The sequence below is a fragment of the Homo sapiens genome, chromosome 2 (assembly GCF_000001405.40).
Source record: "Homo sapiens chromosome 2, GRCh38.p14 Primary Assembly".
Classification (NCBI taxonomy): Eukaryota; Metazoa; Chordata; class Mammalia; order Primates; family Hominidae; genus Homo; species Homo sapiens.
In genome coordinates this window covers 105,475,715-105,491,413 of record NC_000002.12, presented here as the reverse complement: position 1 = coordinate 105,491,413, position 15,699 = coordinate 105,475,715, and the positions used below count along the sequence as shown (strand labels likewise).

The 15,699-nt window shown below is 40.5% G+C and overlaps 2 annotated features.

The window, feature by feature from the left end:
* Positions 240-5,454: an enhancer, noted in NCBI's record as "VISTA enhancer hs2590". NCBI's record gives its function as "enhancer in: somite[4/6] | heart[4/6]" and the evidence as "EXISTENCE:transgenic organism evidence [ECO:0001131][PMID:17130149]".
* Positions 13,902-14,114: a silencer, noted in NCBI's record as "fragment chr2:106093757-106093969 (GRCh37/hg19 assembly coordinates)". NCBI's record gives its function as "represses an EF-1alpha promoter that drives an FKBP-Casp9 reporter gene in an ReSE screen in K562 erythroleukemia cells {active_cell/tissue: K562}" and the evidence as "EXISTENCE:reporter gene assay evidence [ECO:0000049][PMID:32094911]".

The window sequence follows — 15,699 nt, the reverse complement described above, 5'->3', positions numbered from 1 at the left end:
TAAGTGTTCCATTTTATCAAATAACTTGTTTGTACTACCTGGTTTAGAAGAAGCAGATAAAAGAATTTGAAGTTATTGTCTCTGGGAATAGGAGTTGAGAAGTAAAGCATGGAATTGTCCCTTTCCATTATATGTTGTGTAAAATTATTCTGATGTCTTCCAGGAAGACATGAGACCTATGACTCAGATGCAAAGGTCTCCATGATGACGGTGAAAGTAAGGAGAACAGGTGGGTCCAAGTTCCAAGTTGCAAGGCAATTTGATTTCATTCAGAGAAGTATTGACATTGGCAAGGTGAACTGCAGGCCACAGTAATGCAGCACAAGTGCCAAGCAGAAGGCACATAAGTGGGTCATTCTAAGCTGCTTTAATTGAAAAAAATAAGTAGAGTCCCTGGCTTTGTAGCTGTTTATCCAGAAAACATTTGGGCAGGAGGGGGTTAAGTTTTAACCATCAAACAATGACCTCCAAAATACAGGAATCTACTCATTGGCCACATGACTAGAACACCAAGGCAATGGGAAATAATGGTTCTCTGCACACTGCCCCGTTGGGAATACTGGGCTCAGTTGGGGTTTAACATTTCCAAGAGAATGTTAGATAGGGAAAACCCTCGTAATAAAAAAAAATTCATGTGCTACAGGACATGGCTGAAGTCAATGAGGATGTTAAACTATAATACAAGAAGATAAAGGTGGGATACAATTATTATTATAAAAATTACAGAGCTGTTATGTAGATGAAGTGTAACTTGTAATGAGTGTTTCTGGAAAACAAAACATTCAAAACCCAGTTCAGTCACCTGCAGAACTTTCAGCTGAATTTGAGGCTTTGCTGGGTACTCTCCTCATGTTCTGCCTATTTCATTGTGGTTGTCCCTTTGTGGAACAGTCACTGGCTGTGACCTCGTGGGAGGCAGCATGTATCTTTAATTTACCTCTGTGTCCCCAGCTGCCAGTGCTTTGCTCGACACATGGTAGGGACTTCCAGCCAGAAAGCCAGTTGATTCTGGTTCAGTATAATTTTGGCTCAAAGAGTATCAAACGATAAGACAAAGTCAACAATGGACTGAACTATCCGGTGAGATGATGAGTGTTTAGTCACAAACATAATCAAGAAGAATTGGATTCCTCTCACTGGGTAAAGGGTCATAGATGACCTCTCAGATCCCTTCCAGCTGAAGGAGCTTTCAATTAATATTGATGCCACTCTGCTGTTAGAATCCCAGGCAGTCTCTCTTGACAGTGAATCGCTTCCACATTTTTTATCTTTCTCAGGTAGAGAGAGAGAAGAGGATGAGATTAGGGGAATAAGTGTGGCCAAGGTGAGAACTCACTTTTGTCAATAGCCCTTAGAGTGTTCTCAGACTTCCTACAACAAGATCAATAACATCTTAGATCAAAGTGATATTAGGGATTTTAAAAGATTTAAAAGGAAATATTTAAAGGGAAAGCAAAGAGATGGTCTGGGTGACAAAAACACTTGAAATAGGGCAGAGGGAAGGAATAAGGGAGTTCCTTTTAATTCAAATTCCCCATATCTTGAAGGCCTCTGTTCCTACCTACCAGATCACTCTATCAGGATCTGTAGAACAGAAAGAACTGGGGAGAAGACAACAAGGAAATTATGGGTGGTAGGGCTGCCACACTACACAAGGCCAGGGGACCCTATTAATCTCCTCGTTGATGGGAACGGTGCTGTCTGGCCTTGAGCAGTGCACACTCTGCACAGCAGGACATGGTAGCCCTGGTGAGATAGGAATGCCAGCTTGATAAGGGTTTGTTTAATACTTGCTCAGAAATGAGGAGGGAGAGATTATTACTAAAGTCCTGGAAAAACAACAGCAGTAGCAACAACCAGCTGCCTCAAAACTTAATCAAGTTTAAGGTGTCCTACTTGGTAGGCTATTCTCAGTTATATTTTCTGTCCTAATCTTGGAGGTTATGATACCTGTAGACACAGCCTAAATACTCTTTCTTCCTTTTCTTTCTGTCTGTCTTTCTTTCTTTCTTTGCTTTTTCTTTCTCCTTTTTTCTCTTTCACTCTTTCTTTCTCTTTCTCTTTTTTTCTCTCTCTCTCTCCCTTCCTTTCCTTCCTTCCTTCCTTCCTTCCTTCCTTCCTTCCTTCCTTCCTTCCTTCCTTCCTTTCCTTCCTTCCTTCCTTCCTTCCTTCCTTCCTTCCTCCCTGCCTCCCTTCCTTCTGTCTATCCTCCGTCCCTCCCCCTTCACTTCCCTTCCCTTCCCTTGCATTCTCCTTCCTTCCTTCCTTCCTTCTTTCCTTCCTTCCTTCATTCATTCATTCCAGAGGAGTCTCCCTCTGTTGCCCTGAATGGAGTACAGTGGTGCAATCTCGGCTCACTGCAGCCTCCACCTCCCGGGCTCAAGCAATTCTCTTCCCTCAGCCTCCCTAGTGGCTTGGACTACAGGTACACACCACCACGTCCAGCTAATTTTTGTATTTTTAGTAGAGACAAGGTTTCACCATATTGACCAGGCTGATCTCAAACTCCTGACTTCAAGCGATCCACCCACCTTGGCCTCCCAAAATGCTGGGATTACAGGCATGAGCCACCACGCCTGGTCCACCTATATCATTTTTCTAAATAAAAAACATCTAACTTGATGTGCCATAGTCTCCCAAATGCTAGGCACAGGGAAATCTGACGGCCAGGTTTTATTGGTCCTTGGCCAGGAATCATTCAGTGGCTCTGCTATAAGGAGGGGACCAAGTGGGAGAAGAAGGGGTGGATAATAGGGAGAAGGTGGGACATCAGAGGACAGAGGTGCTGACAGCTGAGAGGAGGTGGTGAGCATGCGTCAGGGGCAAGTGCCACCTGCTCACCCCTGGCTATTTTTACGCAAGGTCTCTTAGCTGCTGGTGTCACTGAGCTTTGAGGACATCGGTGCCCGGAGTCCCAGAAGCCTATTTTAAGAGACTTCACTTCAATGGCTGATATCAACAACACGCAGATTCTGCCAAATGACTTCACAGATAGGGGATCTGCAGCAGCTTTCATCATCGAAAAAGCAGAAACGTGGCCTCACTCCAAGTGCATAGACTTCAAGAGGAGCCAGTGAGAGGGTCGTGGAAAGACAGCAGCCCTGGGGAGTGGGCTTGCTGTGCCCTGCACAACATTTGACACCTCTCCACCCCTTCCTCAGTGTGGATTGGGCAGCTGTGGTTTTATTTTCAGGTCACTTCTTAAGCCTTTCTTTACAAGTGGCCTCCTTTAGGGGCAAAGGTTTTATATTTACAAGAAAATATAAAGGTGGAAGAAAGAACCTTGCCGTCCCTCCCCACCCTCCAAGAAGGATGACAGGAGGGGTGGTGGCTGGTGAGAGTGGAGACTGGGTGGTTTGGAGGTGGCCTGGTCAGCTTGACGAAGGGGACACAGGACTCTTTCCCTGTGACAGGCCACACTCCAAAATGTTCCTCCACTCCTTAATGATTTCTCATGTTCTGTGCACTTCTAATCACAAACCCGAGTCTGCCAGGATCACGGATCACTTCAGACTTGGACACTGGATACAAAGTTGCAGTTCTCATCAAAGCACAAATGGAGCCCAAGGGTGCCCTTCGCTGTCCTCACGACAGGGGCTGCCTGAAGCATTCTGCCCAAGCTGTGCCTCTCAGACGGCAGTGACTGGCTCCCGCCTGACGTGCAGGAAAGGGTGAAGGCATGGGGAGGGATCCGTGACCAACACAGAAAACAACCACGGACCAGTCTCACCGAGGGCCCCGCTGTGGTGGGTGGGGCAGCCTGGGTTCCTTTCTCCAGTCCTCCTCATGCCCTGGCCATCCTTGGGAGAAGGTCAGGGGTGAGGCGCCTCTGGCAGGTGGCCTTGTAGTGGTGAGGATGGAAGCCGTGGGCTGACCTCTTATCCCACCAATCGCCTTCAGACCACAACCAAGGAAAACACCCCGACCCTGAAAGACTCAGCTGCCTCCAACAAAGCCTAAGTGACGCCAACTGAACACTTGGAAAGAAGAGAGAAAACAAAACAGGATTTGGATAATTGTGGTTAGAAAAATAACTTGAAGATCACTTGGCCTGAATGTTTAGAAGACTCAGAGGGCCTAAAGAATGCAGTGGATTACAGGAAGATGGAAATGAACATACATTCCTGCAGAAGCCCCAATTACCAAGTTTTTGTTTGTTTTCTTAGAGCCAGTATGTCCGAAGAGAGGTCATATCATCTTTGAGGCTGGAGAGCAGAGACGTGCTCTGTGGTCACAGTCAGACGAGACAAACGAGGGAATGGAATAATGTCTAATACCATTAGACTGTCATTTCTAACGAAACCTAATTCTAATTTTAAGCCAGCAAGAAGCAGGCAATGAATATTCAGTTGAAGGAGTCCTCAAGAAATCCTCAGTGCATGAAGGAACTTGAATGCACCGCTAGGGATATGACTGCTAGTGTAAGTCAACGAGGCCACTGGGATAGAATAGGGAGTGGTGAGGACTGGGGTGAGCTGGCAAGTGCATGCTCTGTCCAAAAGGGCAGCCCCTCCTGAGCACCAGTGTCTGCAAGAATTGCCCAAAGCAGGCCCAGAGTTGCCAGATCTCCTGTTGTTTCAAGAGAAACTGTAAATGTGCATTTTAATATGAAATCTCATAATGTGGACAACACATTTTTGAAAAAAATAATATTGTTCAGGCTAAAAAAAAACCTCTACTGGCTGGATTCTGTCCATGGACTTCCTATTTTATGAGACTTCAATTGCTTTATAATCGCTGACCCATATAAATAGTCTATAATCGATAACTTTATAAGACAATAAAGATATCCAAGAAATAAGATACAAACCATACATTTATGGCCGTGTGGGAATGGAAAATTACTTCCAGATCAAATCAGTCCAGTTTTTATGAGAAACTGAGGCCCAAAGAATTGGGCAAGCGTCTTGGGTGGCCAGGGGTAGGATGAGAACTAGAAACTCTGCCTTCTGATGTGCAGTCTGGCACTCCTTCCTCCACGGCAGCCACCAAGCTGGGCACCCACATCTGAAACCTCAGAGCCCTTCTCTTCTCAAAATCAACTGGAGACTAAGTCCATCGTTTTCTCGTTCATACCTTTACAGCTTCATTACAAAAGAGAATCGGCAGGTTTTCACTGGCTGATGAGAGAACATGAATGGTGGCTGAGGAAGGAGGCTCTGAGCGCTGTTCCTATCCAGAGGGATCTCTGCCTGCAGCTCTTGGGCCCACAGGTGCCACTGCCTGGAACGCCATCACATTAAGCATTTGACTTCTCGCCATAAACTCACCCCATAAACTCACATCAGGCTTTCACCTCCAACCCGAAGCCCAAAGTGATCCCTCCATCCTCTAAGCCCTCCAGATATTTGGTAAACCATTGCGTTGGCATGACCTCTCCAACTGGATCTGCCATTCTTAGCCTTGGCTGAGCATTAGAATCAGCTGGGAGTTTTAAAACTCCTCATGCCTCGGCTTCACCCTCATCCAATTAACTCAGAATCTCTGGAACTTTGGTTATTCTAATGAGCAGCCACGGTTGAAAACATGAACCGACCTCTGTGCCTTCTGAGGATGAAAATGCCTGCATGCAGGGCCAACTACATAATTTTCAGGGTTCTGTGCAAAATGAAATTGGAGGCTTCTGTTCCAAAATTAAGAACTTCAAGTTGGTGACGGCAGAGCATTAAACCCTTCTAGGCACAGGGTGCTGTACGACTGCCATGCTGCACACTCATGCCTGACAGTGGCCTTGGACCTATAAGGATTTCAACAAACCAGGTGTGGGTTGATTAGGGTAGAATGAATACCACGGATCTAACATTTAACTGGAATGAAATTGAGCAGAAAAGCACAAGTAAGACCTTGAAAACTGAGATCCAAAAAGAGAGTTTGGATAAAGGATGGGGGGAGGGGATTTCAGGGAGGAAGACTTCTTTATTAACAATATTTAATCATTAAGACACAACATAAACTCAGTAAAAAAGGGCACCAGCCTTACGTGGACATTTGATAAATTTCCACATCAAGGCCAGATGTGATGGCCTCATGCCTGTAAAGCATTTTGGGAGGCTGAGGTCGGAGGGTCACTTTAGCCTAGGAGTTTGAGACCAGCCTGAGCAATATAGTAACACCCTGTCTCTATAAAAAGAATTTTTAAAATTCACCAAGCATGATTTTGTGTACCTGTAGTCGCAGCTACTTGGGAGGCTGAGGTGGGGGGATCACTTGAGGCTGCAGTGAGCAGAAACTCAGCACTGCACTCCAGCCTGGGCAACACAGTGAGACCCTGTCTCAAAAATAAGAGAAAAAACTCCAGATCAAGATGCAGGTCTTTGGCCCCTACACAATCAAATCCCCCCTCAACATAGGCACAATGCTGACTTCCATCACCATAAAGTAATTTTGCCTGTTCTCAAAATTTATGTAGAGGGTATCTTTCATGCCAAACCCCTATGAACCTCAGTAGGGAAGGCTACAGGTTCAAGAGGGTGACGAAGAGACCCAGAGCCAGGAAATGAGACATGGGGTTTTATCAGGGGCTTAAACACAGGGGAGAGTCCAGTGGCGGGGGGCCAAGGCAGGAAAACTGCAAGCATCTGCAAACATGTAGTTTATACCGCATTTTCACTTAGCACCCTCCTCCCAATGACCTCCACCTGTCAACCACCTTCATTTAACCCAAAACTCAGGGCCTCAGTCCCCTGTAGGCCAAGACAGGACAGGGCCTGAGATTTTTGTCTGGGTAAGGAACAAATCTCAGGGTCGGTCACTCCTGGATTGCCTAGCTTGGAGCACACATTCAAGTGTGTCTTCCATGCAGGGTCATTCTAAGGGTATGCTTAAATTCTTGCTGTCAGGTGTGTTGACCCTACAGTCTCATACTGTATGTATTCTTTCACTCAACATGTCTTGTGATTCATGCATAGACAGCAGCTAGTTGACCCAGCACCATTTATTGAAAGGGCTTTTCTTTTCCTGTTACATGTAGCTGTAAGTTGTTCCTTTTATTGCATTTTATACCACCATTTATGGATGGACATCTGAGTCCTTGATAGTTTTGAGGTAGTATACATAAAGCTGCTATGAACATACTCAAACATGTCTTCTGGTAAAAACATGCACACTTGGATATTTGCCTATGATTGGAATTCCTAGGCCATAAGGTAGACATATATTTAGTTTTAATACATAAGCACTTGTACGAGTTTACACACCCACCAGCATTGTATAAGACTTCTAATTGTTCCATATTCTCTCCAACACTGGGTACTGCCAATCTTTCTAATGCCTAACAGATGTCTTCTTGCGGTTCTAGTGTTTCTTAATGGCCTAATGACATTGAACTGTTTTTTCATAAGGATTTTGGCATTTTGGTTATCCTCTTTTTGTAAAGTGCCCGTTCAACTCCTTCCCAGGCTTAAAAACTGATTTGTCTGCCTTTTTCTTATTTACTTAAAGAAGTTTTTAAAAATATCTGCTTAATATTCATCTTTGTCTTTAGTATATGGCTGCAAATATCTATTCTAGTCTGTGGCTTGATGTTTCAGTCTCTAAATGGTGCCCTTAATTGTTCATTTTAGTGAAAAACAGTTTTTCAAACTTTTATTTGTGGTTAGTGGTTTGCATGTACAGTTTGAGAACTCTTTGCCTAACTCAAGGGTCATAAAGATACTCTACATTTTTAAAGAAACTACTGTTTCACCCTTTTCATTCCGGCTCACAATCCATCTGCAACTGATTTTTATTTTTTTGTCTGTGGTGTGAGATAGAGGTCAAGACTCATGTTTTTTCATAAGTAGCCAGTTGACCCAGCCCCATTTATTGAAAAGGCTCTCATTTCCCTTACAACATTAAAGTTGCACCTTTATGGTACATCAGGTGGCCCTTTTGTGTGGGTATGTTTCTGAACTTTTTCTACTCTATTGATTTATTTCTCTAGCCTTGTACCAATAGCATGCTATTTTAATTACTATAGCTTTATAAGAAATCTTAATATCAGGAAGACCTCTGACTATTTTCTGCATTGTGTGTGTGCGTTTCAAAATTGTCTCAGCTCTTCTTGGCCCTTTGCAATTCCACATAGAACTTAAAATCACCTTGTCAGGTTTCAACAAAGAATCTGTTAGTATTTTATATGAGATTACAAAATACATTTATAGATGAATTTTGAGAGAACTGTCATCATAATAATATTGTGTCTTCCAATTCAAGAACACTTATGTAAGTTTTAATGTTTCTCATCAATATTCTGTAAAAGTTGGTGAAGAATTACACATTTTGAGTTGCAGTTATTAACAGGCTTGTTAAAAATGTTGAGGGCCAGGTGCAGTGTCTCACACCTGTAATCCCAGCACTTTTGGAGGCCAAGGCACGCAGATCACTTGAGGTCAGAGTTTGAGACCAGACTGGCCAACATGGTGAAACCCCATCTCTACTAAAAATACAAAAATTAGCCAGGAATAGTGGCACATGCCTGTAATCCCAGCTACTTGGGAGGCTGAGGCATGAGAATTACTTGAACCCGGGAGGCGGCGGTTGCAGTGAGCCAAGATCACACAGCTGCACTCCAGCCTGAGCAACAGAGGGAGACTCCTCCATCTTAAAAAAAAAAAAAAAAATTATTGATATTTATAAGTGGCAGTATTCTTTTAAATTTCATTTTCTAATTGTCTATTGCTAGTATAGAAATACAATGCATTTTTCTATGTCGATTTTATATTTAATGACCTTATAAACACATTCTAATATTTATCTATGGAGTTTTTTATTTTCTACATTCACAATCATATCATCTGAGAGTAATGACAGTTGTAGTTCTTCTTTCCAGTATTTAAATTTTTATTTCTGTCTTGCTTATCACTCTCACTAGGGCCTCTAGCACTATGTAAATTGAAGTAATGTTAGTGAACATTCTTGTTTTAGTCAAATTCAGAGTGAAAGTATTCAATATTTTACAATTATAATATTTACTATAGGTATTTTGTAGACTTTCTATTTTACAATAAGGAAATTCCCCTCTTTTGCCAATTTTTAAAACCTGATTAGGTGATGAATTTTACAAATGGTTTGTTGGGCATCATTTGAGATGATCATATGAATTTTATCTTTTATTCAATTAATATAGTGAATTATATTATTTATTTTGAATAAATTATTGAATTTTTTAATTTGTGGAATAAACACTATTGGTCTGCTTCATCATCTTTTAAAAATATCACTGTATTAAATTTGCTAATATTTTGTTCAGAATTTTTGTATCTGAGTTTGTGAGACATGTTGGTCTATAATTTTTTTTTGTAATGTCCATGGCACATTTTGGTATAGAGGTTATGCTAGCTTCATGACATGAGTTAATAAAACTTCTTTTATCTTATAATTTCTGAAAAGCTTTTGTAAGATTAATATGATTTCTTCCTTATATGTTTGATGAATTCAGCAGTGAATTATTAGAGCCTATTGTTTTCTTATGGGGACAAGATTTTAATTGCAGATTTAACTGGTTTACAAGGATTGTACTTTTTTCAAATTTCTTCAGTCAATTTTGATAAATTGTCTTTAAGAAATTTGAGCATTTTATTTAATTGTCAAATGTAGTGATATGAAGTTGTTTATCACATTCTTTTTTATCTTTTTAACATCTGTATATTCCATTCTCATTTTCTTGTATTGGCAATTTGTGTTTTTACCCATTTTTTTTCCTTGAGTAGTATGGACAGGGCGTTACTAATTTTGTAAGTCTTCAAAATATCAAATTTTAGTTTTGTCGATTTTTTTTGTTGTGTGCTTGTTTTTCATTTAACTGATTTATTTTATAATATTGTTTCTTCTATTAGGAGAATTGATTTTTCAACATTTCTCCTCTTTTTAAGATGTGCATTTAGTCCCAGGCATTTTTGGTTTATTTTTTATGTTCATTTACCAGCTTCTTGAGACAGAAACTTAAATTGCTAATTATCAACATTTATTCTTTTATAATATATGCAGTTAGTGCTATATATTGTCCTCTAAACATTGCTTTAACTTCAACTCACAGGTTTTGATGTGATATATTTTCATTATGAGCCAGTTCAAAATATTTCTAATTTCTTTTCCATTTTTTGTTTTACCTATAGGCTATTTAGAAATGTATTTCTTATTTTCCAAATATGTATTGATCTAACAGTTTTCTTTTTCCTTTTGATCTCAAGTTCAATTCCATTGTGATCAAACAATATACTGTATGTGATTTCAGCCTTTTGAAATTTGTTGAGGCTTGCTTTATGGCCCAGAATATGGTCTATGTTGATATGTGTTCTTTGTGGTCATGAAAAATTTGTATTCTATCGTTGTTGTTTGAATTATTCTACATATATCAAATAAGTCTAGATGGTTTTTTGTGTTGCTCAATCTTTTACATTCTTCGTGGTTTTTTTGTCCACTTGTCACAGTCCCAGAGAGAGGTATGTTAAAATCTCCAACTATAATTTTGTGTGTCTGTTTCTTTTTAGTTCTGTTACCTTTTCCTCATATATTTTAAAGCTATGTTATCCTTTGCATAGCAGTTTAGGACTGTTATATCTTCCTGTTGATTTGGTATTTTAATCATTATGAAATGTCTCTACCACTAGTAACTCTTTTTTTCTTAAAATTTACTTTACATGTTGATAATTTATCTGCACTAACTTTACTTTGGTCAGCATTTGCTTGGTATCTCTTCTATCCATTTACTTTTATCCTATCTGTGTCTTTATATTTAAGATGTGTCTTCTATAATCAGTAAATAATGATGTTTTTAAAATCCAATTTGGCATTTTTATCTTTTAATCTCAATGTTAATCTAGTCACAGTTAATGCAACTGCAGAAATGTTTAGATTTGTCTATCATCTTGCTAATTTTTTCCATTTGTCTTCTCTCTTCTTTGTTCTTTTATTTTTTCCTTATTACCTTATTTATCAATAAGCATTTTTATTCCATATTTTTAATCTATTAGCCTGTTACTTATACATTCTTGTATTATTTTCTTGATTAACCATGAGATTAAGAATGCATCCTTGACTTAGTATAGCCTATCTTAAATTAGTACTTTTACCTGTTTCTGAATAACGCAAGAAATTTAAAACAGTTTAACTTCATTTACACCCCTCCTGTTTTTTTGTGTGTGTGCTATTGTTGTCATATACTGTACCTATATTTCAAACTCATAGTTATTATTATTATTAATTTTATTTGCCTTCATATTTGCTCTTACAGGGTAAGGGTGCTCACTACTTCTTTTTGTATTTTTATAATTTCTTTTAAAATCATTTTCTTTCTGCCTAAAAAATTCCATCTAATACTTTTTTTAATGAGGGTGTTATGTTAAAAAAAAGTCTTGCTGGCATTTTTTTCAACACAATAAAGATGTCATTGTCTTCTGGCCAGATAACTGGCCAGACTTTTATTAAAAAATCAGTCATCAGTCTTACTTTTACTGTTTTAAAGATAATGCATATTTTTATTATGTATTCTCTTAAAACTTTCCTTTATCTTTCATTTTCAACCATTTGACTATGATGTGACTAGATTTTGTTGGCTTTATATTTATCTGCCTGCATTCTCCAAGATTCTTGAATTTATGGCTTTTGGTCTTTTATTAATTTTGCAGACAGTATTTTTAAGCAATATTTTTAAAAATTATATCATTTCTGTCCCATTCTCTGTCTTTCCTCTTCTTCTCCTGGTAATCCAATTATCCATACATTAGCCCTTTCCATCATGTCCCCTGTCTTTCTTGTCCCATTTTGTGTTTTCCATCTTTTTTCCTCTCCATGCTTCAATCTGAATACTTTTGCTTATCCTGTCTTTAGTTCACTAGTCCTTTCTTATACTGAGTCTAATCTTATGAGAAAACTGTTCATTTAACTATAGCATATTGATCATAGTTATTTTAAAATCTGATAACTCAATAAATTACCTGCAAGACTTTATATTTTCACTTTTTTCTCGTCTCTTGGTTTTCTGTCATTTGGTCTTAATTGTAGTATGATTTGTGATTTATTCTGAATTACAGATATTGCATATTGAAAATCACAGGGGGTCTGAAAGATGCCTTTCTGTGGTTGGATTAATTTTCCACCTGCAGGCAGAGAGCATGCCTGCTGACCGCCATGACCCTGTCACAGTTAATTTTATGCAGACAGCATTGGTCTGTTTCAGTGTTGCCCTTGCCTCTGTAGTGTAGCCCTTATTCCTAAGATAGGGCCCTTCTGGGGGCTCAACTGAGATTCAGTAATACCAATGCCTGTCCTCCTTCCTAAGTCTTAAACTCCATCTCTGTCTCCCCAGCACCTTGTGGCTGCTGGAATCCCTGATTATCTCTTTAACCTCCAAGTTGCAAATTTCTGTTGGTTTCTTAGTCTTGCCTGTTACACCTTAAGAGCTGGCAAATGTTTCAAGGGAAAGTGTGTATAGAAGGTTCATTTCTCTGCAGTTCCTTTGTTGATGCGCTTTAGACCTTTTTCTAGCCCTGAACTTCAACCTCTCTTTCTTCAGCCCAGTGGGACTCTGAACATCCTGCTCACCCAGGCAGAGAACTGGCAAATAAGGTTAAGGAAAGAGGCCAGTTCCCCACAGAGGGTTCCTCCTCTCGAGGATTGCCTCATGTTTGGTCCTGCTGCTGTTCATTGCATTTCAATACCTTCAAACAGTTTATTCTGTATGTTTTCCAGCTTTTATTGTTTTCAGCAGGAGGGATAGTCTAATACTACTGACTCTATCATGGTTAGAAATGGTATTCTCTCCTCCTTCCCCAAACCTCCCTAACATTTCTGTCTTTATAGACGTTTATCATCAGTTAGAGTCATAATTTGCCTTCTTCTGGGGCACTTTAACTGCATCTTCACACAGAGAGCAAAGATGGGATTCTTTTCTTACAAATGATTTCTGATGTTTTTTAAAAAAACTATTTAATTTAAGGAAACTCTCAAAAATAACATAGCCACAATTCACATCCCAAGAATCACTAATATCTCTATGTTCAGTGTGTAATACTATATTCTCCAGCCATGGCTGACCAGAATGTTCCAGACCCACCTTTCCAAGGACACCAGAAAAGCAGGCCGGGCATGGTGGCTTACACCTGTAATCCCAGCACTTTGGGAAGCCCAGATGGGTGGATCACTTGAGACAAAAAGTTCAAGACATGCCTGGTTAACATGGCGAAACCCCATCTCTACTAAAAATACAAAAATTAGCCAGATGTGGTGGCATGTGTCTGTAATCCCAGCTACTCTGGAAGCTGAGGCAGAAGAATCACTTGAACCCAGGAGGTAGATGTTGCAGTGAGCCGAGATCGTGCCACTGCACTCCAGCCTGGGTGACAGAGGAAGACTCCATTTCAAAAAAAAAAAAAACAAAACTGGACAAGATAATAGAAAATCTATCTGAAGTTATCAGAGAGCTGCCAAGGCAATGCAGACTCAGAGGATCAAGATTTGGGGAGGCGGGGCCGTATAGAGGGATTAGAGGGAAGAGCAATCAGAGGGTGCAGGCTAACATTTTGTGCCAGTTTGCCTTTGAAGTCTATGCTGACTCCAAAGGGGAACAGAGAAGGCTCAGCAATTGGTCATTAATGATCATCATTGGAATAAATAAACAAAATTTTAATGACCAGACCCTGGACCCAAGCTCATGCCTTAAACACTGTCATCAGAAATCCAGAGCCCAAGGGATTCATAGATTTATTCTCCGTGTGTTCTTAATTAACTTGGAAAATATTTGTGGGTAGAAGAGGGTGGCCTGCCTGTGCTTCACCCATTAAGAGTAGCCCAATCAAAGAGGAATGAAAAGTCTGAGGACTAGGTTTCTATTAAGCTCAACATGGAGGTAGGAGTAGTATTTATAGCAGCTCTCTCTACTGCGTGTACATTACCTGTCTATCAGGCACAGGGTGAAGTATCTTAGACCCCAAGGCTCCAGAAGGCCCCAGTTCAGCCTTATCTACGCCACCAGTGAGCTGGTTAGAAGTGCAGAGTCTGGCCAGGCGCGGTGGCTCACGCCTCTAATCGCAGCACTTTGGGAGGCCAAGGCAGGTGGATCACTTGAGGTCAGGAGTTCCAGACCAGCCTGGCCAACATGGTGAAATCCTGCCTCTACTGAAAATACAAAAATTAGCTGGGCGTGGTGGCATGCGTCGGTAATCCCAGCTCCTCAGGAGGCTGAGGCAGGAGAATTGCTTGAACCTGGGAGGCGGAGGTTGCAGTGAGCAGAGATTGCATCACTGCACTCCAGCCTAGTCAACAGAGTGAGACTTCATAAAAAAAAAAAAAAAGAAGTGCTGAGTCTCAGGCCCAGACCTACTGAGTCAGCATCTGCTTTCTAGCCAGATCACTAGGTGATTCAAACTAAAGTGTGAATGTTGGTCTGGGTTCATTGTTTCATGACCCCTCACTTAAACAGTGGTCTAGGCTCCTTATTTTAATCCTCATAACAAGCTTACAGGGGAGATACTGTTATCATCTCTCTTTAATAGATGTGAAAACTGCCTCTCATGTTTCTCTCCTTGTCAAACTTTTCATCTCCATGTGGCTGGCAGTATTGGAGACAGATCCTAGACCCAAGTCTCCCTAACATCTGAGCTGCCGCACATAGGAAATGTGGCATCACACTGCCTACGGGCTCCTTCTACTCTCAGTATCTGGCTGAAGTACCACATAATAATCCATTATCATTCCGTTTTTTTCAAATAATAATCCATTATCATTCTGTTTTTTCAAATCTTTAATAATTTCCTTGCATCTACATTTTAATTGTGTTATGACCTGAATTGTGTCTCCCCAAAATCCATGTGTTCATGTCCTAACTTCAACACCTATCTCAGAATGTGACCATATTTAGACACACGGTCTTTAAAGAGGTAATTAAGTTGAAATGAGGTTTTTAGAATGGGCCCTCATCCAGTCTGACTGGTCTCCTTGTAAAAAGAGGAGACTGGGACACAGACACACACAGAGAGAAGGTCATGTGAAGACACATGGAGGAAACAGCATCTATGAGCCAAGGAGAGGGGCCTCAGAAGAAACCAGCCAGACTTACAGCCTCCTGAACTGTGAGGAAATACATTTCTGTTGTTTAACCACTCAGTCTGTGGTACTTAATAATGGCAGCCCTAGCAAACTGATACAAATTGATATACTTACCCCATGGCCCAAGCCTACCAATCTATTCTAATTTGCACAAGTGAGTTAGGTCTAGTGCTCCATTAGTCACCAACTTTAAGTGAAGTTCTACTATGTCATCCTTACTGTAATTCTATATTCAGATACAGACACATGGTTCATTTAAAAATTAATCCACTCAAATCTTATACTTGAAGATCAAAAAGTACCTGTATGATTACATGACTCGCCAAACAGCATGCATTTTTACTTGCTTGAGCGTCTTAGCTGTGCTGTGTGCCATCCAGATTTAAGATGAAACAGCAGGTCTGAACTTATATAAGTGTGGGAAGGCAGAAAGTGATTGGGGGGGAGTTGGGGCCCAAGGATAACACAGAAGTTACAACTGGCCTTCACTAGTGAGTCACCTGTGCTAAGCATGGGAGATGCTCTGAGAAGAAGAACACGTGCTCTGTTATCCCGGAAAGCTTGCAATAGCTGAAGAAGCTGAAAGTTAAGTGACTTAATTTAAACAATGTCATAAAACAATTAATGGCAACAAAGACTAGGAGGCCACGATGAATCCCCAGAGACTGAAGCACA